At 38.1% G+C, this 27,615-nt stretch overlaps 1 protein-coding gene across 10 annotated transcripts in view, besides 2 other annotated features; it reads right to left on the minus strand.

The window, feature by feature from the left end:
* The window catches only part of USP6NL (USP6 N-terminal like), a 151,141-nt gene that overhangs the window by 73,386 nt on the left and 50,140 nt on the right, over positions 1-27,615 (minus strand). The window lies entirely within an intron of this gene.
* Positions 1,180-1,389: an enhancer, noted in NCBI's record as "active region_3014". NCBI's record gives its function as "activates an Ori minimal core promoter by ATAC-STARR-seq in GM12878 lymphoblastoid cells {active_cell/tissue: GM12878}" and the evidence as "EXISTENCE:reporter gene assay evidence [ECO:0000049][PMID:35858748]".
* Positions 20,509-20,678: an enhancer, noted in NCBI's record as "active region_3015". NCBI's record gives its function as "activates an Ori minimal core promoter by ATAC-STARR-seq in GM12878 lymphoblastoid cells {active_cell/tissue: GM12878}" and the evidence as "EXISTENCE:reporter gene assay evidence [ECO:0000049][PMID:35858748]".

Genomic DNA, 27,615 nt, shown 5'->3' on the forward strand with positions numbered 1-27,615 from the left:
CGCTCCTTGACCAAACTTTGGGCAGGCTCCTTTAAGCCCTCTTCTTGACTACCTCAGCCTCTACCTCAGCCTTGTCCTATCTTCAGCCTGCCTAGCCCAGTTGTAGCAAGAATCCTGCTAACTCAATTTAGCAAGAATCCCCCCACTCTCCATGAAATCTGATCATCCTACATATCTGAACAGATTCCTCATCCCCCACCCTTGATATCTGATCACCCTGGCCTGTCTTCAGCAAGAATCCTGTTATGTTGGTTTAGCCAGAATCCCCCTACACTTGATGTCTCTCCTCTTAGTGATTTTCCATCACTGACCTTCTTGCTCTGCCCATTGGCTATCCATCTCCAGTTGTCCTTGCTGCGTGCAGAGTTGAGCCTGACCTCTCCACTGTTTTAACAGTCTTGATACCAACTGCAATGGTCCTGAATAAAGTCCACTTTCCCTTTTTAGCAAGGGTCAGAATAATTCTTTTACACAAAATAAGAAAGAGAGGCAAAAACAGGATCCGTAACATTGCCGCAGGCCAAAATTAGACATTTCCAAATGCCAACTGCGTAGCTGCATAGAGAGCAACCTGTCTACATTAGAATAGGAAACATAAGGTGTCTTAGAAGAGAGTGGATTCTAGGCAACACAAAGATCATGGGTATAGTAGTGATACAGTAAAAGCTTACATATAAAGACATCAAAAAGAGTGTAAGGGGGCTATTAGAAATCTGAAGACAAGCAATTAACAGAGTGAGAAAAGTCAGTCTGACATGACGTAAAATACAAAGGGACATGGCTGTGACCTTGATGGTATATGAGAAAAGTGAATTCATCTGATCTTGACATCTTCAACGTTAGGGATTATGTTTCCTTCCCTACACACCTCATCATAATACTTGAAACTGAAGTAAATGCTATTGACATTATTATGATTATGTAAGAACTGCATTGGCTATTAATGTTCACAATAAAATATAGACAATGTCTAAAACTGAACCCTGATCTGCACACACACTCCCCACTCCAAACCTAAGCCCCCACTTTCTAGAAGCAATCATTGTTAGCTGCCAAAAATATTCTCCACACTATTCAAGAATCTGCATGTATTCATGAACACCCACAAATATTTAATCTCCCATTTTATTCAAAAACTAGAATCATTCTAAAATCGACACCTCTTTTTCACTTAACAGTACATCATGGAGACCGTATAGGTTAACATCTATAGATCTGCCCGGCAGTGCCCCTAAAGGTTAACAACCATTTCTGGGGGAAGAGGCAGAGGCAATGGGCCCTGTTTGTGGCATCTGCAGATTTCCATGTGGCAAATACTCAAGCTATGGTGGCCAGTTTCCAAGCTGCCAAAGTGATGTCACTGAGTGCAGTTTCTCCAGTACCCCAGTGGGTCTACCTCAACCTTTTCCACAGATTTACAGCACCCTAAAGTATTAGTATAATTTATTCAACCAGCCCTTCTCTGTGGGAATGAACTAAGAGAAACTTAGAGAATGGATCAACTTGCAGTGGGAGTTAAAGACGAAGCACCATGCAATAAAGAGCTTAATAGGCAATGATGACCAAAGGCAAGCTGAAAAAATGAGGAAGCAAAAACTACCAGTAAGCAGGGAAAAGTAGCTGGTACAGAGAAGGAAACAGCACCTGAGATGCAGAGCAAAGCAGTCACCACAAGAGACCTTTTAGCCCAAAAGAGACTGAATAGCCCACCCCAAAGCTGCTTCATGCTTCAGTTCCTGATGGCTTTCATTTCTAGTATAACGAATTCAGACAGCAAATGCTCTTTTTTCCTTACAATAATCTGAATAAGTTATTTGTGTCTTTCAACCAAATTCACTGGCGCCTCTTAGTTACGTTTTTAGTTGTGACCACTTTCTCACTGAACCATGGACTAAGATACATCAAGAAAAAAGATTATTTTTAAATGTTGAAATCTTAGTAAACGTATTTGTGATCACTTCCTCACTGTACCACAGATTAAGATATATTAAGAATAAAGATTATTTTACATGTGGAAATCTTAATAAACACCATTGATAAAAATGCCATTATAATTTTGCCATGCTCTAGATCCAAGGCTGGAAGGAATGCTCAGAGGAGGAATGAGCAGTGAAGCAGATTAACATCAAAGCACAACTAAAAACACAAAAAATAAAGGAAGGTACATCTGCAACAAGAGTCTGAAATACCACTTATTTTGACTGGTCACTCTGGTCAAGATGAAATATGGGAACCTAAAGGCTACATACACCAGCTCTCCCCCTAAAACATCTTGTTCTGAAATAGCACCCTGGGAAAGCCTAAGCCACCCTACCACTGGTGGTCCTGTAGGAAGAACTGTTCCAGTACCTCCTCTTGACCCTTTTATTTCCCTTTATTGGGAGATCATCTAGAATCCTAAGAAAAATAGCTCAGAGCAGTCTGAGCTCTGTGAGGTCCACAAAATCTATCAGGCCCAGAGAGATGTGCATATGGGACTTCAGTTATGGATCCTCCCATGCCTGGGGAAAACTGTTTAAGAGCATTTTGTGCCTGGCTAGCTGCCTCCCCCATTATCTTCATGTTCTTGGAATTTGTGATACAAAGAACAAGGTTTAGACAATCAATAGCTTATGTTATTTTGATGTAAATTCTTGGTAAAATCTTAGAAACAGTCCCTTCTTTTTTCCTTAAAAACCCGCTTGTAACTGCTGCTAATTGGAGTGTATATTCAGGACAATGTCAATCTATGCACCCAGGTGGCCATCCTCAAGCTCTGGACTCAAATTAACTCTACTTAATCATATTTCCATTATTTAAGGTTGACAATCCAATCCTATACTTCCCCGCGGTCCAACCCAATCCCACTTGCATCTCCCATAACTACATTAATTCCACATTAAACAAATGCCTTTTCAAAAACTGCACAACTTCAAAAACCCATTTATCTCCATCTTGCTCCCCCTATTAGCATATAATCTTAGAAAAATCATTTGGCTTCCTTTCCTCTTTCTTATGTTTACTTGGGAACAACAAGAAAAGAGACAGGTCATAGCCACAATTATAGAACAGTATAAGTAATCACCATCAAGGAAAGGGACAGCCAGTGAAAGCAAGATATGTGAAAGACCCAGTGCCATCAACCCACAAAGTCCTCAGAAATGCCCAGATTTTCTCTTCAGAAGAGCCACACAAGTTCCATACATATCTTCATATTCCTCCAGGTTTTGTTTTTGGGGGATTTTGTTTGTTTTGAGACAAGGTCTCACTCTGCCGCCCAGACTGGAGTGCAGTGGCACGATCACAGTTCACTGCAGCGTCAATCTCCCAGGTGATCCTCCCACCTCAGCCTCCTGAGTCCTAAGTAGCTGGGACTACAGGCGCATGCTACCCTGTCTAGCTAATACTTGTATTTTTTGTCGAGACGGGATTTTGCCATGTTGCCCTGGCTGGTCTCGAACTCCTGGGCTGGGGCAATCCACCCACCTTGGCCTCCCAAAGTGCTACGATTATAGGCATGAGCCACAAAGCCCGGCCTACTCCTCTAGTTTAAGTATGCATTATCTGATACAATCAAAGTGTTCAAAAGAAATAAGCCTAAATGTTCTTCAATTTTAACTTTTCATTATCAGCACAAATATGATTTATACCTTCCCATTCAAAATATTTCTCGTATCACCAATAGCATTATTACCATTATTTCCACTGTATCATGCTTCAAATTAATACTTTTTTATTTTTTCATTAAATTTGCAGAATACACTCTTCAAACAAATTCTATAAATGCCCAGTTGCCAAGCAAGTAGGGTCAGTGGGGCTGGGGAGGATGCAGCAAAGCTCTGCTAGCTTGGCCTCCCCTTTCCCTATGGTGAGCACTGCCGGGGTGGAAGGACCAGGCACACACACTGCACCTGCTGGCCTCTGGGTGTGCCCACTTGTAATGCTATTGCCCAAATGATTTCCCTTCCCGTCAGCTTCCCAGCTGCCACCTCAGCCTCCCTTCAAGGAGTCCCCTTGATTCTCCATGGCTTGCCCCTGATTCTGCAAATAAAAAGATCAACAGTGTCGATATAATTGGTAGGTTGCTTGTTTTGTTTTTGTAAGCACATGTTTTTAAGATCATTGGGAAGAGGACAAATTGCCAATATTTTATACATAGAGCACCTTGCGTCAGGTAGATATTTAATATTTCTATAACTAGTAAAATATTTAAATTATGGTTTTAATTAAGTTAAAATTTTTTCTCACACCAAGTCCTGGGTCAGCTTCTATTATTTGCTTCCTAATTTCTAGAAAGATAGGAAACAAAATAATTTTTAAAGTCCTAGAAACAAATGCTGACAAGATTTTATTATAACAGAGAAGCCTTTTTTTTTCTCAAATTTAATCAAAACTAGAATTGTAAGCTGCTTAGATATGCTCCACCTTACCACTGCCCATTGCTAGTAAGGCAGAACTGGCCACTGCTGCTTCTGACCTACTGTATTTCCACATCTGTTACCTGTAATTCTTTACTGAATATATGTATTACATGTCTCTTCTACTGAACTATGATCTCCATGAAAAGAGGACAGTTTCTCATCCATCCTGGTGTCTCTGGTATCTATCAGTGCCTAACCCATGGTAGATGCTCATTAAATATTTCTTGAAAAGCATAAAAAGTTACTAAAAATTAATTACTAAAGTGAATTATCCAACCAATTAAAAATTTAATATATCAACGTATGCTGAAAATCAGACTCACAAGCTAATTTCCATATACACCTTCATTACAAAAAAAGTATACTTTTGCTAAAGATTCTTAGCTTTCTCTTATATATTTATTCCATTTATTCTATTTCAAGATAGCATTTAAATTTTTATGAAGACTAAAATTCAGACATGAGAAGTCACAATCTAGTTACCTAAATTTGTACTTCTGGTTATCTAAAAGTCCTTCACCTGCATTTTAAATAACATAGGGGGCTCCGGGAAGATGAAGTGCTCGAGAGACTCATCTGCTGTGTTTGTGCTCCAACCCTCTCTTCACTCTGCTCTTCATCTCTCCTACTCGCAGAGCTGCACAGGCTCCCTTTCGTTGTGGAAAGGCTCTGCTCATGTGGCTGGGTGTGCTTCCATCACGCTTCAAGTCACGTGGAGGAAATGCAGCGAGGGCAGCGCTCCTGAACTCTCCCACTCTCCTCTCCAAGGGGCAGAAGGACATGTGGGGTCAATGGTCTGAAAGAAGCACCTGGGCAAGACAGGCTCACCTCCTGCTCTCTCTCAGCCCCTGTCCCTGGGTGCAGCCTTCTGTCCCTGAGTGTCCCCTGGTCTGGTCTCTCTAATGGGCTCTCCATGCAGGAAGGTGCCTGCTCTTTGAGGCCCAGGCTTGTTGGCTGTGTCAGTCACCCAGTGGGCAGGTCTAAGTCAAGCAGGCTAATAAGCCCTTTTCACTCCAGATCTGATGCCATGTCCTCCAATCAGTCAACAGAGGAGACAATTTGATCTCCATCTGGCAGTCTCCTGCGCCTTACTTCTCAAGGAAAAGAAACAGTATCACTTAGTGACTCCCTGGAACCCACCAAATCAGACTAGTAACTCCTACATTTATGTGTAAGATGAGTCACAGCTTAAAAGGATATGAAGTGATGTAACAATATTTAAATACCATTACTACTGAAGAGAAACATAATTACTAGCTGTTGCATATGAGTGCAATCCCACATTTGGGGACAGGGTTGAATGACAAAATTGCCAACAACAGATATTTAGAACCAAGACAAACATATGAGTCACTTTACTCACTTCAACCCGCCTACAGTTGCTGACAAAGTCAAGATTATATTTTAGCTGCTTTTGCAGCAGTATGATTGTTTTAACAGATGACACAAGACTGGTTTGTAACAACTCCTTGCTTGTGGATATTTTATAAACTGTTTATTGAGAGGTTACTATGTGCCAGACACTGTGCTGAGCATTTAACATGCATAATCTCACTTAAACCTCACAAAAGCCTATGTTAGTTTTTATGACTATCTCCACTTTACATATGTGGAGACTGAGGCGTGGAAATGTTAAGTAATTCAGGCCATATGGGAAGTAAGAGACAGGGCAGGACTTAAAAGCCAGGCTGTCCAATTTCAACTTCAAAGCCATGTTTCTAACCATCAAGTGCTTTTGTTGAAGTGTAAGTATTAATAGTTGATCTTATACATTTCTGCTCACTTCTGCTAGTCCTTACATTTCTTCCCACAGAAACAAATCTATGTGATTCCTGTGAATTCTAACAGCTGTACTTTCTGGATTCTAGTAGCCCTCCAATCTCATTACATGAAATTGTCAATTATTTGTGCAAAATGGAGATGAATGGTATTCTGAAGAATCCAAGAACAATTTATATGAAATATTCTTTGTGGTCATAATCAACTGGACCTGCTATATTATGTTTTAAGTTGTGTGTTTTAGGATAATAACAAGAAATGATCTGGAAACATGTAAAAATTTGACACAATAATCATCAAATGACACTGAACTTTACTAAAACACTTTATCCTTTTAGTATTACTAAAGCAACTGCCTTCATGATTAATTCCCATGACTACAGAAAGGGCTCTATTGAATCTACTTCATTCACTTAGTTTTAAGAACTTCTTTCCCAGCTCATTCAGAATTGCAAGTATGTGCAGTTATATGCACTACAATAAAAGTTTGTGTTGAATTTGGCCCATAGGTATTAACAAGAAATGTTCTAATTACAGCAAATTCTTGCAGACCAGATATAAGAAGATAATTCATAGACTGCCCACTCTGATGCTTAATAACTAATTCCACAGGCAGTGGTAACGATCAACCCAATGGTAACATTTCTACCCTTTAAATAAAAAATAATGTGCAAAAGCCAAACTGTGCCTAAAATGACACTCAAAAACAAGAACGAGGTATTGCCTAGAACAACTGAGAAGCACACAGGAAGAACTATGTTATCATCCTTTGAGTTATGTAAGTATTACTGGGTCCCTGAATGGCCCTTGGGTTCAAATTTGACCATAAGGCCATCAAAAGCCAGCAATTTGGTAACACTGAATGGGATTTAATAAATAAAAGTGCTCATATCACACTAAAAGTGTCACTCATTCAATCATTTTTGTAAGGTACCCTAAGCTCCAAGCACAGTACCACAGAATTCTCACAAGACACAGCTGCAATCCACACATTTCACCTAACAAATCCTGAACTGCGTTATATGTATCTCATGTGTGCATGTGTTTAATATTATATTCCTTAAACTCTGTTACTGTTATTGTGCTAATAATGTTGTGTTAGGATAACTTATATAATAAGTAAGATTTATTTTATATAACAAACATCAATAGTGCCATATATATATATATATATATATATATATATATATATATATATATATGTATGTCACTCTTCAGGAGACCAGATGAATTAAGTAGCAACTAAGAACCTGAGTGATAAGCAGTAACCAGCATTTATTCTGTACAATCCAAATGCTTTATGTATATTACCTCATTTAGTCTCCCCACATCAAAACTACGAGGTAGGTATCATTATTGCCCATTAAACAAATGAGAAAATTGGTAGGTTAACTGCAAAGATCACACAGTTCTTAAGTTAGAGAAGTGGCACTTGGAACAATGCAAGAAGGCTTTGAATAAATAAAATCGCAAGCAAATGAACAAAGGCTTAACAAGAGAATCTGTCAACAAGGATCCTCTAGCATTAAATAAGGGCAAGAGGCAAGGAAATGCCTTCAAGTCAATAGAAAGCCGTAAGTGTTTTTCACTGTGAGACAGAGCAACCTCCCTAGATGTGCACAGATCTTAAATAATGGATTTCACCAGAACTGAGCCATCTGAAGCCTAAAGTTACTCCAATATCAAGCAATAAATCATCTACCTACTGTGGAAAACAAAACAAAATTAAACAAGAAAAGCCACAGACAGAAAAGACACTGGAATGAAATGCACTAAAGACAGATGACACTGACACTATAAGTTAGAAAAAAATTTTTTTTAATTTTCCAAATACATTTTACCTTTTCTATAACATAGTACGGTGACTAGAAAGGAAAACTTGCTCCTCGGTATTCTTATAAGGTTTTAGATGGAAAGCTGTAGGACAATTTTTAAAGCAAATTATATAATCAAATAATTCTGCCCTATCTCTATGGATACCTGAAAGTTCCACTTGGAATACCGACTGGCCAATCATTAAGTGAATGACAATCAGATGAAGAATATAAAGACCAGCTTTTCCTTGGAGAAATGAGATGAATTAAACTTTCTAATATTCATTAATTCAGAAAGTACTGAACACCATTTACTGCCACTGCACCTAGCTATCACGTAATACAAAGACAGATAAAACAGTTCCTCAAAAAGATCACATTCCTGAGGGAATCAGACACATAAAGACCAACTGTAAATAATGTGAAAAATGCTCTTTAATAGATGTTTTTTAAATGCTACAAAAAAGCTGATAGAAAAAAAGCAAAGTCAGAAAAAAGTTTTAGGTACAAAACAACGTTTGATCCAGGTCCTAAAATAGCATGGTAGAGGCTGGGCACAGTGGCTCATGCCTGTAATCCCAGCACTTTGGGAGGCCGAGGCAGGTAGATCACCTAAGGCCAGGAGTTTGAGACCAGCATGGCCAACACAGCGAAATCCCATGTCTACTAAAAATACAAAAGTTAGCCAGGCATGGTGATGGGTGCCTGTAGTGCCAGCTAGTCAGGAGGCAGAGGCAGGAGAATTGCCTGAACCCGGGAGACAGAGTTTGCAAGGAGCTGAGATCAGGCCACTGCACTCCAGCCTGGACGACAGGATGTGACTCTGCCTCAAAAAACAGTAATAATAAAACAAAAGCATGGTAGAAACTCACCATGTGGACAAGGAGAGAAAGCTGCAATGTTACAATAAAAAGTCAGAGACCCCCAGCAACAGGAATGGCTATTTGAACAGCAGCAGCTGCGTCGACAGTAACGTGGGGTAGGAAAGACAGGGCCCCGAGCTTCTAACATGTCTCCGTCACCTCCTTTTTCACAATACTCACCCCTCACAACTGGGTAATCTACCGCAGGAGCAGAAGTATATATAGGAAAACAAGAAAAATATTTAGGGATTAGAAATTAGTGTGAGGTCATCAAGAAAGCTAAATAACTTAGTAAAAATTTAATTAATATTTTGATACTACTAACGTATCATTATTACCTGGGTATTCAATCATTATTACCTAGGTCATTCATATTTGAATGACCAAAATAAGGGTAACTGTAAGCCTTTTTAACTATGCAAATTTTACTCAAAAAGCAAATTTTAAAACCAAATCTAATCACATCCAAATATATATTTCTTCAATATTAAGAAACATCTATATAACTGGCCGGGAGCAGTGGCTCACACCTGTAATCCCAGCACTTTGGGAGGCCAAGACAGGGGGATCACAAGGTCAGGAGATCGAGGTCATCCTGGCTAACACGGTGAAACCCCGTCTCTACTAAAAAACACAAAAAATTAGCCAGGCATGGTGGCAGGCGCCTGTACTCCCAGCTACTTGGGAGGCTGAAGCAGGAGAATGGTTTGTACCCAGGAGGCAGAGCTTGCAGTGAGCTGAGATCACGCCACTGCACTCCAGCCTGGGTGACAGAGTGAGACTCCATCTCAAAAAATAAAAAAGAAAAAAAGAAAAAAAAAGAAACATCTATATAATCTACCATATATATATTATCTTCCTAATAGGGAATATATTCGAGAAAAATAACAGTAGTAGAATGTAAATTTCCAGAGAAACTTGCACAATCACGTTCCAGATATTAAAAGAAACAATACTCTTAAACACAACTGATCCATGAGAAAAAGGGAAAGGGGCTACTGCTACTAGGCTCCAGGTAACATCTTGTCTGGGGATCCTGAAAAATATTTAGGTTTTTTTTTTTTTTTTTTTTTTTTTTTGAGATGGAGTCTCGCTGTGTCACCAGGATGGAGTGCAGTGGCGCAGTCTCGGCTCACTGCAACCTCCGCCTCCTGGGTTCATACCATTCTCCTGCCTCAGCCTCCCGAGTAGCTGGAACTACTGGTGCTTGCTACCACGCCCGGCTATTTTTTTGTATTTTTAGTAGAGACAGAGTTTCACCGTGTTAGCCAGGGTGGTCTCGATCTCCTGACCTCGTGATCCACCTGCCTCGGCCTCCCAAAGTGTTGGGATTACAGGCGTGAGCCACCATGCCCGGCCCAATATTTAGGTTTCTTTACGGTAGCCCAACCAAATGTTCCACCCTCAATTCACCTGGCCAAAACCTTAAACACAATGTTCAATCAGACCATAAATGGATTTTTTACATAGCAGTCAAAGAGTTAAACTCTATGAAGAAGTCACAAGTGTGGGGTGGGGGAGGGGAGCCTTGTCCCCAATGCTGCCCTTGATGAATTATGTCAATTTCCACATAAAATACCAACTCCAAGGAGACTGACTATAAAAACATTTTACATGAAAGATCTGCCATCCTTCTCACTGTGGAAAATATTTCCTAGAAAGCACTGTCTTGAAGTCATTCAGTAAACTACCTGAACTTATAGAATGCATTTATAACAGTAATCTAAATTTTCTCTCTTTTCTTTTTTTTTTTAAGACAGAATTTCGCTCTTGTCGCACAGGCTGGAGTGCAGTTGCACGATCTCGGCTCACTGCAACCTCATCCTCCTGGGTTCAAGCAATTCTCCTGCCTCAGCCTCCCGAGTAGCTGGGATTACAGGTGCCTGCCACCACACCTGGCCAACCTTTTGTATTTTCAGTAGAGACGGGGTTTTGCCCCGTTGGGCAGGCTGGTCTCAAACTCCTTACCTCACGTGATCCACCCGCCTCGGCCTCCCAAAGTGCTGGGATTACAGGTGTGAGCCACCACGCCTGGCCAGTAATCTAAATTTTCTAAGTAGATAAGCAGGACCAACTTCACAATGCAGCAATAAAAGACCAAAAACAACATAAAAGCCCATCAATTCAGTTATTAAAAATCATGAAGCAAAATTATATGTACTGATTTGGATTCGTCCCCAAGATATACTGTAAGCAAAAACAAAACAAAAAACACAGGGCAAGGCTCAGAATAGTTACACACAGTTAACAGTGGTTGTCCTGGGGAGATTAAATCTAGGTGAACAGAAAGGACACTTATTTTTCACTCTTTAGTACATCCTGAACTTTTTGTTATGTACACATACCACCTTGTCAGAATACAAACATAAATTTTTAAACAATTGTAAATATAATTAACATTAGCCAAAAAAATCCCTCCTAAGGAAAAGACCACTGCAACACAGCTTCTCCCACACAGGCAAACCCTCCCCTCTCTGCCCCACCCTCCCTCAGCCTCCAGTGATCTGACAGCCAGGAGGATTTGGGGTAAGGTCCCCTCAGCCTTTCTGGGGAGAATGTCCTCTAGCTTCTTCACTGCTCTAAAAGAAAAGTAATCCAAAGAGCTAATACTTCTCTCCTGTGGCCAAAAGAAAACTAATTAACACTTTCTTCCCCAGCAGGCCATGCAAGCAGGGGTGCTGAGCAGAAAGAGGTGAAGCTGCCGTGTTCCACCTTCTCTACGCGTGAACAGCAGACCAGCCCAGAGAAACATATCCTTTACCACCGCAGTCATCTGTAAAAGGGTCAGCATTTTGCTGAGAGCTGCAAAACTTAAAGGATAATACAAACGCTAAAGGCATTATACTTTATGCTTTTCAGAACTGGCTCAAATATCTTGAAAATATAAATACAAGTAACAAAAATTTACAGGAGAACCTGCCTCAGTAGGCCATACTACAACTTTCCTGATCAATGTACCTACCAGATGAGATTTTTTTATTTCTAACAAATCTGGACTGTTTTGAAATGAATGTCTTGTAGGACTTTCATGTATTTTGTTTTTAAAAATGCTTGTAAAGCCTCTTAGAGGGTATCTTCTCCTGTGAACTTGTATTTGCATATGACACTGATCTTGTTGACTATAGTTTTGCCAACCACACTTTGGCCAATAGTCCTTTCAAGAACATAACTTCCAAGGTTAGTGAGGGATTAACATACACAAAAGACTTTAATAAACTTACTGACAAACAGCTTACATTACTATCCTTGTGAACAGTAAATTACTTTAATTGACGATTTTTAATACCATTGATCTGGTAGATCCTTTGCTTTCCAGTAAAACCATCAATGCTTTACAATTTCACAAACTCTCTATGTGCAAGGCTCTTTTTAAGTACTGAGAAACAGTTTATCAAGACAAGATATGCCTTCAAGATGCTTATAACCTTGCAAATGAATTTTTAAATCCTTACCATAAGAGATGTGTTCACCACAGGACCATACCAGCAGTGAGAGAAAGGTAAACTATAAACTGTTTCTAACATGAATAGAAAACTAAAGAGAAGTTAATGACTTAATTAGAAAAGGTGATTATCTGAAGTAAGGGTAGAATTTCAGCAAGATCATTCTTTGTTTATTGTAATATTATAAATAAGAGACAATTTGGATTTTTCTTTATTTTATTTTTTCAGACGGAGTCTTGATCTGTCGCCCAGGCTGGAGTGAAGTGGCACGATCTAGGTTCACCGCAACCTCCGCCTCCCAGGTTCAAGCAATTCTTCTGCCTCAGCCTCCCAAGTAGCTGGGACTACAGGTGCCCGCCACCATGTCCGGCTAATTGTTGTTGTTGTTGTTGTTGTTGTTTTTAGTAGAGAAGGGGTTTCATCATATTGCCCAGACTGGTCTCAAACGCCTGACCTCATGATCCGCCCAGCCAGGCCTCCCAAAGCAATTTGGATTTTTCTTATAGGACTTGCCTTCAGTTGGCTTTCTGTTCTTCTACAAATCTAAGCACATCTAGAAATCAGAAGCTTAAACTGCCTGGCAAGTATGATGGAATGCAAACAGAAACCAAAGTTAATTGCCTACTTCCTTTTAAACACTATCAAGCAAAAATCTTTTGGAAAATGTGGTTTCTTTATTGATATACGCTTTAGAAACAACTTTTCTAACAAATAATGTCTGGAATGTGTGGATATCTGTAAACACATGCAAACTTTAATTTTCCCCAAATCGACAGCCAATAATTTCATAATCTGATTCATTTAACAAATCAATACTATTTCACAAAATTATTCCATATACCATTAACTTTACTTCATTTTTGTTTTCATCTGATTCAACAGAATTCCTAATAACTTCTTTACTACTTATTATTGATGTAAACTTGGGCAAGTCACAACCTGCACAAGTTTCAGTCTCATAATCTATAAAAGAAAAACAATGATGACAACACAATAAGAGCGTGAACTCACAGGGGCTCAATGTCCACTAAGTCAGGCACTGTTTGGAGCAGGTTGGAGTGTTCTAAGCATATTTTCTCAAGCATATTGTCATACGTAAACTCAAACAACCCTATGGTGTAGTCACTATTATCGCTGCCAAATTACAGATGAGGAAAGGGAGGCGCTCTGAAGTTTCCAAATGTCTCACAGCAGGCGGCAGAGCGGGATGTGAACACAGTTGGGATCCAGAACCCATTCTCAAAATCATTACACTACAGCTGCCTGATAATTATAAAATATTTCCTGCCCAGCTCATAAAATTCTTGTGAAGATCACATTTAATCAAGCTCATAAAGCATTTTAAAACTTTTTTTTTTTTTTTTTGAGACAGTCTCACTCTGTCGCCCACGCTGAAGTGCAGTGGCACGATCTCAGCTCACTGCAAGCTCCGCCTCCCGGGGTTCACGCCATTCTCCTGCCTCAGCCTCCCGAGTAGCTGGGACTACAGGCATCCGCCATCACGCCCAGCTAATTTTTTGTATTTTTAGTAGAGACGGGGTGTCACCGTGTTATCCAGGATGGTCTCGATCTCCTGACCTCGTGATCCGCCCGCCTTGGCCTCCCCAAAGTGCTAGGATTACAGGCATGAGCCACTGCACCCAGCCAAAACTTTAAAGTGCTATATAAATACAAGGCATTTGTTAGGAGTAAAGTCTTGAGGACAAAACGGACTGGATTTTTAAAAAGTTAAAGTTAAAAATTAATTTTAAAAATTAATTCTTAAAAAGTTAAAAAATTGGAAGGAAACTTAAAGCTCAACCTCTCACAAATGATGATATCCCCTCGATAACATCTCTTAATAAGTGATCACTCAATTTCTCCTTAAGGCTTCCAGAAATGAAAATCTCACAAGTCAGCCCATTCCAGCTTGAAGTGTTCTAATTATTAATAGAAATGTCTTCCTTTTAGTTCTAAACAAAATTAGGCTTTTCCACATGAGAGGCCTGTAAATACAAAACTCTGACATATTCACACTGTCTAACACATGACATTTACTAAAGTCCCCTTTGAAATTTGATGCCCCAAATTCAACATGATACCCCGGAAAAGGTTTGGTGGGAGAACAGCAGCACTATTACCTCCTTTGATCTGCAAACAAATATCCACTTTTATTTTCTGGCTGTTAAGTCAATTTAATGGGTTCTTATTAGCACATACTTAATTAAAATATCTCAGACCTCTCTTAGAAGCTTTCTCAATCTCAATACAGAGCTTGACATTTTATTATTTTTAATTAACTCATTTTCCATTTTGGTCCATGACTATCCTATAAAGATCTTTGTAAATCTTAATTTCATAACCTTACTTTAGCTATCTCTATCAACTTTGTACCTATCTCCTTCCCTTCATAAATCCAACAATTGTAACTAAATTTTCACCCTAGCCACTGAAAAACTGCTGAATAAGCTAAGATCCTAGGACCCACTGGCAAAGACTTTCATTCTGATAAACATCAACAAATTAATTTAACTATGGTCTATCAATCAATTATAAAATCTATATATGACCTATATCCTCCAACCATCATTTGTTCTTCTAGTCTATGGTAGGATCATAGAAGACATGTATACCTTTCTAACACTCAAATAAAACTTATCTCCAACATTTCTTTAGGTTGCCTGTTAAGTAATAACAAAAAAAGGAAGTTGTATTAGTGCTATTATACCCAGAAAAGTCCCTAAAGACCATTATTTCCTTTTAAACCCATTCATAAACCATGATTTAATAAAACTAAGCTCGAATTCTGATTAGGATTAGCATGAAGTCCAATAGTTTCTAGTTACCAGAATCTACCCATGCTTCTCTTCGGAGTCTAGTCTTCTGGTACCTTTTCCATATTTTACTACCCTTAAAAGACTATTAAATTACTCTAAAATAGACAGTCTAAGACAACAGCTCATCTAATCCTAAAGACCTAAATTTAAATGGTTTATTATCTCCTAACCGACCTTGAGCCTCAATGACCTCTCATTTCTGTCCATTCTCTTTTCTGTTCAAAGATAATTTTACGATAAAAAGAACAACAACAACAAAAACAGATGGAAGCAAAAGAGTCCAGGACATACATGCTTTCTTTATGTTTACATTATATGATATGTTCCAAACAGCAGGCCTATCTAGTTATTATTGATCTGTAGAATCCAAAATAAGTTTTTGAAGGTGTTCTATCAGACTCCACACTGTTCACAGATATCAACTCATTCAGTTTTTACTTTTCCTGATGCTATGTTTAAGTATCTACTACTTTTTTCACTCCCTATTGGTGATAAGCCTTTTCTCCCACCTTTCACCCAAACTCTTTTTAAATGTGAACTCAAAGAGCACCCTAAGCAGCTACTTTATTTTATGTATAGTTCTTTATCTTTTCTTTCTCATGAGTATAAGTAGTCACTGTAGATTTTTCTTATATTGATCCAATTTTCCTTTCAGTCTGTGGTAATCAAGCCCACATTTAATATGTTTCTAATTCATTTTCCTAAAGTAAATCACATATCACTAACTGGGTATGAACAATGTTTTTCCTTTACAAGTAGAAATTCTAGGAAGTTACCATCTCTTCTACTTTACCAACACGTACTTCTTTATTAGTTAGAATTAGCCCTGAAAGGCAGTTCCCTTCTTTATTGCCACAACCTCCTAAATTATATAGTACTCAAGAGTGAGATTACAAAACGGATTTATTTATATTTGAATAAGCTCTGTTGTCGGCCTTAGATTCTTGCTGAAAAAAGATGGTTGCAAATGATAGCAAGATTTCATAGGCTCAAAGTTGCCAACATAATTGAAGTGGGGAGAGACAGTCTTGTCAACAAATGGTGCTGAAATAACTAGGTATCTATATGGTATCTATATCTATATTAAACCTTGGCCTTTACCTCAACAGTATTCAAAAATTAACTTGAAATAAACCACGAACATATATGAAAGTGTAAAAACTATTTAGAAGAAAATATAGGAGATAATCTCGATGATACTGGGTTAGCCAAATTTTTTTTAACCAAAAATAGCACAAACTAGAAAAGCTGATAAAAATAGAGCTCATCAAAATTAAAACCTCTTGCTCTTCAAGGGATATAAATAAGAAAATGAAAAAGCAAGACTGGGAGAAAAGCCTGTAAAATATGTATTAGACAGAAGGCTTATATCCAGATTAAAGAATTCTTACAACCCAGTAAGAAGAAAACAAGCAGCCTGTTTTTTGTTTTTTCGGGTTTTGTTTTTTAAAAAAAGCAAAAGAGGCCGAGCACTGTGGCTCACACCTGTAATCCCAGCACTTTGGGAGGCCAAGGTGGGCAGATCACCTGAGGTCAGGAGTTCAAGACCAGCCCAGCCAACATGGTGAAACCCTATCTCTACTAAAAATACAAAAATTAGCCGGGCGTGGTGGCACACACCTGTAGTCCCAACTACTCAGGGAGGCTGAGGCAGAAGACTCACTGGAACCTGGGAGGCGGAGGCTGCAGTGAGCTGAGATCGCGCCACTGCACTCCAGCTGGGCAACAGAGTGAGACTCCGTCTCAAAAAATAAATAAATAAAAACAAAATAATAAAAAAAATTAAAAAAAAAACAGGCAAGAGATTTGAATAGACACTTCACAAAAGACACATGGATATATGAATGGCCAAAAAATACACTAAAAGATGCCCCAAACCACTAATAATTAGAGAAATGTAAATTAAAATCACACTGAGATACCACGACTGAGGTACCACTATGGTCAAAGTTAAAAATACTGAAAACATCAAGTGCTGCTAAGGATATGGAGCATCTAGAACTCTCCTGCAGCATGCGTGAAAATACAAAATGGTACAGCCATGTTAGAAATGAGAGCATGTGTCTTATAAAGTTAGATATAAAATTGTATCATACTGACCAGCAATCTCACTCCTAGGTATCTACGCAAAAGAAACAAAAACATTTATTTATAAAAATTTTTATGTGAAAGTTCATACAGCCCAAAACTAGAAACAACCTAAATATCCATCAATTGGTGAAAAGGTAAGCAAATTTTGGTTAATTCATACTTTGGAATACTATTCAACAACAAAAAGGAAAAAACTGCTGATAACACGAAACAATGCAAATAAAAGAAGTCAAACACAAAAGACCTCATACTGTAGAACTTCATTTATATGAAATGCTAGAAAATGTATGTTTGTTTACTTGTTTATTTTGGTCCACTGAACCGACAGATCAGACCATGTCATTTACCACTGTAACCAGTGCTTAGGACAGTGCCCGACATCTAATTGGTGGCTCAATAAAGTTACTGAAAGACTAACTGAATGAACAAGAATTATCTAGTTTAATCGTAATCACAACCATAGTGATAAAGATACCATCGCAGCGATGAGAAAAATGAGACTTAGAGAGATCAATGTTGGCCCCAGATTACATGGCTACTGAGTGGTGGTGCCACAGATCAAACTCAGGCCTCTCTGACTCTAAGTCCTGTTCACTTAACTATGTTTAACGTCTATATAGTGTAGCAAAGCTCACTGACATTCTACAACTTCAGTTTATTCACCTAGGATCTTAAGTTAATGGTCAGATTCCATCATAAGTTTTAAGGACTATTCAAATTATTTCACTGTAATTTTGTATCAAATTATTCTTTGAAATAGTTGGGGCAGCTCAATTGTTTTGTTAAGCAGAGACAGTTACCAGGCCTGATGGTACTTCCTAAAATGGGCTTTAGTTGGTTAGGTTACAACTAAATTTATAGTACATACCTAAATAGCAGGTGCATATTTCCACTAAAGTAAATAATATAGTATTTATATATTCATCTTATTAACAAGGAAGTCTGTTTCACTACTCTTAAACATTGCTAATTCCCACTACACTATACTTCCTGCCAAGACTAAACATTGAAGTGACAGCCATCTTTAGTAAAAGATTTGAATGTGCTTAGAGGCGTGGCATACACACACCAATTAAGAAAAAACAAAGGTTATATTCAGCAATGTGAGACTTACCATAATAATTCTATTCACTGGGGTAAAAATGAAAACCAGAAAAAGAAAAGCAGAATGAAAGAGCTTCTGAATGACAGTGAACTTAAACAAGTGAGTCAGGATAGTGAGTCATCCTTCAGTGCATGCCTCAAAAATGTGAACAGATACTACCCTAAGTCCTACAATGTTAATCATAATCCTTTTAAAAATCAGGAAATAAAGCTGCTTTAAGCTGAATTCCTGTTTTCAATGTGGTCATAGTTTTGCCACATGCATAACAATTGATAAGTGGTTTTAAGATTAGTCCTTGAAATCCTGCCTACGGATAGGGGTGGCTGTGGAATGTGTAAGAGTATAACTAACTGCAACCACGGGTTTCGTGAAGTTCTATAACATCCTTTAGGGTGGGAATAAGATCAAGGAAACTCTTTTATATTGGTGTAACACAATTCACATTATGCAGAAAATTCATACACACCAATGGGAAACATATCCACTAAACATATTCTTAGCTTTAGGTAATGAAACACTTATTTCCTTACAAGGAACCCCTTTCTAATTTGCCTATTTCTACCAACACCATCACACCATCTCAGGCCTTAAATACAAAAGCTTTGCTGCTTTATTATTTTTTTAATAGATTTGGGGGACGGTGGGTACCAGCACAGTTTTGCTACATGGATATATTGTGTAGTGGTGAAGTCTGGGCTTTTAGTGTACCCATTACCCCAATAAAGAATAATGTATCCAGCAGGTAATTTTCAAACCTCACCCACCTCCCACCTCCCACCTTTTGGAGTCTCCAATGTGTGTTCCTCTCTCTATGACTATGTGTACCCATTGTTTCGCTCCTACTTATAAGTGAGAACACTGGCATCATTTTTAACATTTTATTTATCCTTCACCCCTCTACCTGTAATTTCTCACTAAGTTTTTAATATTCTTTTCAATCATCCTTCCTTTTACATTTGCTCCACTATCACATTAATCCACAACCATATTTTGGCTACTGAATTGTTGAATGCAAAGAAAAAGCTGTTTCAAGACAGTGTACGATAATCCCAAGTGTGATCTATTGGGATCATTTGGCAGGCATGTCGCAAGTAACTTGCCAATAATGACAATTAACAACACTGAAATTCAAATCTTTCTCTAAAATAATACTCCTCTCACTAACTTCAGCCTCCAGGTTTCCTTGTGTGGATGTCATTTCAGCAAGGATACCAGAAATAATATATAACTCACTTACGAGACTACTCACTCAGGTGACCTGTTATGTATGCCAAAACTAAATAAAAGGCTGAAAATCAATGTTCCTTAATATATTATGGGAATATATACTTACATCCATTCATTGAACCCTCACTCCATTCATCAATATTAGATTTGTCTCAGTATAACAAAAAATAGCAAGATTAGGCTGGGTGTGGTGGCTCATGCCTGTAATCCCGGTACGTTGGAAGGCTGAGGTGGGTGGATTATCTGAGGTCAGGAGTTAAGAGACCAGCCTGACCAACATGATGAAACCCCGTCTCTACTAAAAATACAAAAATTAGCAAGGCATGGTGGTGGGCGCCTGTAATCCCAACTACTCGCGAGGCTCAGGCAAGAGAACTGCTTGAACCCGGGAGGCAGAGGATGCAGTGAGCCGAGATCGTGCCACTCCAGCCTGGGCAACAGAGTAAGACTCCATCTCAAAAAAAAAAAAAAGCAAGATTAAAACAAGACAAGATGTTTATGTCTCTCCTGATGTCTAAGAAATCTAGATATAAGTCATCCAGGTCTGATATGGGGACTCTAGAGTCTACAAAGATCCAGGCTCCTTCCATCTTTCTTCTCCTCTATCCTCTGTAAGGCCTCCATTCTTAAAGCTAACTCATTAGGTAAAGATGGTTGCTGGATCTCCAGCCATCACATTTGTATTGCAGACAGAAGGAGTGAAGGAAGGTGGGTGCAAGAGAGCAGAGTACACACAGAAGAAAGAGCAACGGTGCAGCCCCAAATAGAAACTGCTCAGAGGAAGCAAATTCAAGGGTTTTCAGTTTCACATGGCTGGGAGACAAAACTAGAGCTCAGGGCACAAAGCATGAGGGGCCAAGATCCTACAGAAAAAGAAAGCAGTGAGAAATCAACCCAAAATCTGAGCCCTTTAACTCCTCAAAGCATCTGCCCATTCACAAGCACCACAGACTGAGAGAAACCAGGCAGAAAGTAACAATAAAAAATGTAAAAGCTAAACAGAACTTGTGGCAGTCCTGAGAAAATAAAAATTGGAGTTCGGGATCCACTAAAGGGGCAGCAACCTGGTAAGCACCCAGACTCCAGCTCAGGCCCCTGAATGACTATGCCCTAGGATCAATGGAGAACCAGAAATAAGTGAAGCTTTATAAATACTGAAATTCAGACAGCTCAAACATGATTGGACTAAGTCGTTTTGCCTTTTATTTTGCTGCCTGCAAGAAGTTAACAGCTGAACCAAAACCTCTACAAGTTTTTCATATGTACTATCTGATATCCAAGAAAAAATTACAAGGCATATGAAGACACAATACCAAGAAAAAAAAAAAGAAAAAAGGAAACAGAGATAGACCCACAAAGTAAGGCAGCTTTTTTTTTTTTTTTTGAGGCAGAGTCTTGCTCTGTCACCCAGGCTGGAGTGCAGTGGTGCGATCTCCACTCACTGCAAGCTCCGCCTCCTGGGTTCATGCTATTCTCCTGCCTCAGCCTCCTGAGTAGCTGGGACTACAGGTGCCTGCCACCATGCCCGGCTAATTTTTTTTTTTTTTTTTTTACTAGAGATGGGGTTTCACCATGTTAGCCAGGATGGTCTCGATCTCCTGACCTCATGATCTGCCCAAAGTGCTGGGATTACAGGCATGAGCCACCGCGCCTGGCCTGTTTTTTTTTTTTTTTGGTTTTTTTTTTTAAGAATCCTATGAGGCCAGGTGCAGTGGCTCACGGCTCTAATCCCAGCACTTTGGGAGGCCGAGGCAGGTGGATCACCTGAGGTCAGGAGTTTGACACCGGCCTGGCCAACATGGCAAAACCGCGTCTCTACTAAAGTACAAAAATTAGCCAGGTATGGTGGCAGGCACCTGTAACCCCAGCTACTCAGAAGGCTGAGGCAGAAGAATAGACTGAACACGGGAAGTGGACGTTGCAGTGAGCTGAGATCGCACCATTGCACTCCAGCCTGGGCAACAAGAGTGAAACTCGGTCTTAAAAAAAAAAAAAAAAAAATATATATATATATATATAGAGAGAGAGAGAGAGAGAAAGAGAGAGAGAGAGAGAGAGAGAAGAGGAATAAAAGATAGAAAATACATGAAAGAGCATAGGAGACATATGAGACACAAGGAAATGGTCTAATGTACATGCAGTTAGAGTCCTAGAGAGGACAGATAGAATGGTACAGAAGCAGTTTCTAAATAGCTAATAAGCAAGAAGGGGAACTCACCAGTTCAAGAGGCACAACAAACCCCAAGCAGAATATAAGAAAAACATACCTGGACACATCAGAGTAAAACTTCCAAAAATTAAAAACAAAGAAGAAATCTTAAAATAGCAGTCCAAGAAAAAGACAACCTTCAAATGGGCAGCAATAAGATCAACTGCAAATTTCTAAACAGAAACTATGAAAGTCAGAAGATAATGAAATTACACTCTTAAAATGCTAAAATAACCAGCATCTTAGGATTTCAAGACATTCTGAAAGTTTCCTTCAAAACTGAAGGCAAAAATAAAGACATTTCCAGATAATGCCTGAGATATTTAATGGTGAGCCCACACACAATAAAATAATAAAAGGGGTTCTACGAGCAGAAAAACACGAGCCTTGATGGACAAACAGTCATGAAGGAAGAAATACAGAGATATGGAAAGCATAAATACATGGATACTAAACACATGGGGTTTACTATCTATATACAATTAAAACATAAAGCAACAATAACCCTAAAGGCAGACAGGGCATAAATGGAGTTAACTACCTTGAGGTTCTTATATTTTTCTGGAAAACAGACATCAGTACTAATTTGTTATAAATTTGAATAAGTCAGGGATTAATAATGTAATCTAGGGTAACACTAAAGAATAACAAAATGATTTATAACAGGTATGAGAATACATAATAAAAACTATTTTAATAATCCAAAAGATGACAAGAAATTACAGGAGAAAAAGAATTTAAAACATGTAGAAAGATAGAAACAGAAAGTCAGATTTAGACCCAAACATGACAATAACATATGTAAACAGACTAAACACACCATGTAAAAGACAAAGGCAATCAGATTAAATGTAAAAAAACAGATATATGCTATTTAGAAAAGAGAGATCATAAACAAACAAGCACTCAGCAAATACGAAAGTAAAAGAATGGGAAAGTTATATATACCATGTAAGCATGAAACTAAAGAAATCTGATAACACTGTACTTATCTCGGACAAAGCCGACTTAGGCAATAATCATTACAGGAGATACAAAGTAACATTTTATTGCAACAAAACAATCAACCCAAGAGGAAGACCTAAGGATGGACCTAGTAACACAGTTTCAAAACACATAAAGCAAAAATTGGCAAAATTAAAAGAAAAAGTAGACAAGTTTACACCATAATGGAAGATTGTAATACATAGAGAGGTCAGAGAGACACTTAGAACTCTAACAACAAATCAATCACATCCAGTCTTTTGAGTCTATCAATCTAGCTCTCAATTTCAAGGGTACCAGCCAACTGAGGACCTGGTTTTTTTATATTCCTTGCACGCACAGATGAAAAGCCCACTGACCACTTCGCTTTGGATCACAGAGAATTTCAGAAGAAGTCTAGAACAACTCCATATCCTCAAAAGCATTTTTAATAGATTACTAAAATCTAAAGCATATAATTTATTATTAATTATAAATGTCATTAATTATACATCAGATTAACTTTGCTGGATATTCTGTTTTCTAAACTTCTAAATTTCTGCATGCTGTTTTCATGCTCAATCAGCTCATTCAATCACAATTTTATTCAACATATTAGAGAGAGAACTTGAAACTGTCTGCTTAATTAAAACTAGACAACTCCTTAGTAATAGAAAGGATTAAGGAATAGTCATAAAAAGAGACAAATAGAGCCCAATACAGCAAAGGAGGCAAGTACAATACCCAACACTTAATAGCAATTAGAATTTGTTACCATTTTTAGTGCCTTTTTACGATAAAACCACAACTATAGATGGATGGCAGGATCTGTGTATTTTTCCAAATATACTTACCACAGAAAGCAGTGTGAATAACATATTCTAGCTCAAAGATGCCATGATTTTAAATGCAAATTTTAAATTGGATTATCTCTAGCGTTAAATCAGAGTCATGGGGCTGAAACCTGACGACAGTGGATTTAAAGGAAAATGGAAGAGAATGAATTGGAGTTAGTGAGTGTAGACTTATTAGGGGAGAACATTGATGACACGAAAGAACAAGAGAGCTGAGTAAGCAATGTTCACGAGTGCATGAGAGCACAGAGACTCTAGTGCATGAGGAAAGAGGGTGGTGCCACACAGGGCAGTGCACACATGGCATACTACACGGGCGGGCTCATCTGTAGCAGGAACAGGTAGAATACATGGGTTCAGTTAACGAGATGCAGGGAGCTCCAACAGTATTAGTCTGCTGGTCCATGAAGCCATTGGCTTCAAGTTTCTCCATAAGGAAGCAAGATAACCAGCTGAAAATAGGTATGGAGAAGAAACGCGGAAGGTATGAGAAAAAAGGGAAAACTGAAACAGTCATCTAAGTGAATGAAGTATACAGTATGACTGTCAGGCAGCATCAAAAGCCTACCTGAGGTTCACAATCTTGAATTTAAAGGAAGGTTGTGGAGAACTCTCCAGTCACATTCAGATGCACAGGTACAAAGTAGCCGTAAAGTTGACAAGACCCTATTTGCGAAGCGACAGGTGGTACCAAAACAGTGACAGGTGGCTCCCAAACAACTTTGGAGCCCTGGCCTCTTCTTCCCTGCTCCTTTGTCCCCCAACTAAATGCCACTCCTATAAGTATGTACAACAAGTATACACACTGATCTCCAAAATGCCCATGACACCATCATCTCAGGATCATCATTCCACAGCAATATTCCGAAGTTCTGGCCCTTACTAAAAAGGGTTCCTCCAGTTTTTCTCCTCGTCCTCAACAAGTTCTCCCATGAGTGAATACATCCATTCCCAAAATGGTGAATGCTTTATCTATTTAATATGTCCCTCTACCCTTATATTCCCTGAATGCTAATCTGGACATCTACACCTGAATACCTACAGGATAAATCCCAGTGTGTCAAAACAACCCTTGATGGTCTGGTCCTCATTTGTGGTTGCAGAATTCCAAGCATACCTCCTACCACTCCCCATCCATGGAACCCATAATCAAACCACACTGGACTTTTTCCTCAAACACACTTGGCTCCTTAAAACCTCCAAGCCTCTAAAGATTATCACATCTATTTACCTCAATATAAACTATATCCATTTAATCCTAATGAAATTTAAAGTAAACTCCTACTGAAATTACATATAAATATCTAAACTCAAACAGATCCATCCCTCGTTTGCTACAAAGAGCAAATACAGGGACTTTTTTTTCCTGGAGTTTTTGACAATGCCCAAATGGAAGTATAACTACAACTAACCATAGTTTACTTTGCTTAATATTAGTACATATTTGGTAATTGCCTAGATGATATATTTAGATCAACTACTAACAATTTTTAACCTACTTTTGAAAAACAAAACATTGAAAAGCAATATAAGCCACTAAGTCGAGTTTGGTTACAGACTTCTATAGTCATGACAGTACAATTTTCAAAATATCGGAAACAAGACCCTGCAAAATTCTCTAAGCTGCAGGTCCAAGTGTAATAGAGCAACAAAGGTAAGTCTTTTCTAAAACCAGGTAGGGGTGTGTGTGTACCCAGGTACTACATATGCAGTATATATGATATACAAACTAGTTTCTTGGGGAGGTTCTGAAGATTATAAATAAATGTGTAAATGCTTTAGGATGTTTAAATTAAAGGAAATATTTATTGACCCAAATAACAATTTCTACTTCTCACCTTGAAGTTATATAAACAGAAAAATTAGAATTTCAAAAATATCATAAAAATAAGGATATAGCCTACTTTGTCATTTTTTAGTACAAACAAAACAGCAACTTTAAGGTCACTTTCCAAACCATTCAGTGATTCAACACGCAAAATTTACACATAGGGCATCCACGCACACTAGTAAGACAGTACAGCTTGGAGAGTAATAATCACTTTAGGATAGTATACAGTCTCGTTTCGACCTTTATTATTGAAATTTAACATGTATGGAGCTCCAAACATACATATATATATATCATCTAAGTAACATTATACTACAGTAATAAATGGAAAAACAATGCACTAAGCCCAAACCTACTTTGCTTTCTTAAACAATCACAAAGTACAACCTAAGCCTGGATCTAACATCTTATAAACATAAATTGTTGTGACTTGATCGTGGAGATAGATGGCTGCTTTCAACTCCCTGGGGAAGGAGAGTCCCATTTTGTTCCAATAGTGCACCAGTCCTGATGATGACTACTAGCCCTACAACCTGTTAGCTCTTTTACCTTAACTTCTCTAAGCTTCATTTTCCCTATCTGCAAAATTGGGATACCACCACACCATATAAGTCTGTTTTAAGGAGTTAGGTTTGAGTCTATACAGCAAGTAGTATTTGTGCATGAAAAAAAGACTGATAAGGCAATAAAATATTAACAGAGGTCTTCTCTAAGGAGATTATAAAAGATTTTTTTAAAAAATCTTCCCCTTACTTGTTCTACGTTGTCCAAGTTTTCTACACTGAGAATAATAATTCCATAAAAATAAAATAATAAAGTCTCATTTCGTTCAAAAAAGCACGATACATTGCAAATTCCTAATTTCCCATTGTCTTCTATAATAACAGTCACTGAGTACTTGCTCTATGCCAGATATATTACATAAACTATCTCCACTTAATGTTCACAGCAACTTCTGAAAGTGCCACCTAGGCAATTATAAAACATGTACTAATATTAAGCAAAATAAGCTTTTAAACATAAGAAAATCAAGGATCAGAAACATCACTCAGCAGGTACAGGACGGCACCAAGATTCAAATCCCAGTCTAACTTCTATGCTTTAGATACCACATTACTCAGGGTTAATGATCAACTTGTCAGCAAAGTCAAGAATCATCTTACTAGTAAGGAGCAGAATACTTTAAGGCTCAGGATTTTTTTTTCTTATATAACTCTGCCCTAAAACATGCTACCCCCCTCCTTTCCTTAGTACCGTAATAACTTTCTCTAAAAGAGGAAGCAACACTTTTGGGTTATCTGTTTTTAAAAGACTCCTAGGTTTGGCAATACTTCACTGACTCAAGTAACTAAAACACAGCTGAGACTCAAAGGTAAACAAAGAAGAAAAAAAAGGCCTCCAAACAGTAAAAAATATATATATATTATATATATATATATATATATTCAAACAACAATACAGTTTATTATTTTATCCATAATCAAGTCTCTCAAAATCTTTACTCAGAACTAATTTATCCTATTGTTATTAAGAACAATTTTTAGGTACAATTAAAACCAGGTTGATGGTTGCTTCATTCCCAAGTCAAAGTTAAGACTAGAAGCAGAAAATTAGAAAACAGGAAAAGAGCTATTAAAAGCAGATACACTAATAATGTACAAGAAGTAACTGCCAACCTAAAGGAGTCAGAAAGCTTAAAAAAATGTATATGGGAAGAATTAAAAAGCAGTTAATCTACATCTATTTCGAGCATACTCAAGCAGCCCTGAATATCTCATTAGGCCCTGAGTTGCAAAGAAAAAACATTTAGTATACTCTATGTCATAGGACGGTAAAATTACATTTTAAGTAGTTTCATCCAGAATAGCTAAAATATGTTTGTGCTTTATACATCCAAAAAAAATAACATTGTAGAATACCTCATTTCCTAACTGAACACTTAATTCATGCTTATAAAATATTCAAGCAATACAGAAATGCATTAAGAAAAGTGAACTCTCTTCCTCTACACCCCTTCCCAAATGAACCCTCTAATGTTAACTTTTTTGGTGGGTTTCCATAAAGTCTTTCTCCTTTGCACATTCTAAAACAGATTTAAACATACCATACACAGGATACACATGTGCATACGTGCACAAGAACATATACGAACACACGCATATGTATAAGGCACACAACAGAACCATACTAAGCACATTGCTTTGCAATTATCTTTCTACT

The sequence above is a fragment of the Homo sapiens genome, chromosome 10 (genome assembly GCF_000001405.40).
Source record: "Homo sapiens chromosome 10, GRCh38.p14 Primary Assembly".
NCBI lineage: Eukaryota > Metazoa > Chordata > Mammalia > Primates > Hominidae > Homo > Homo sapiens.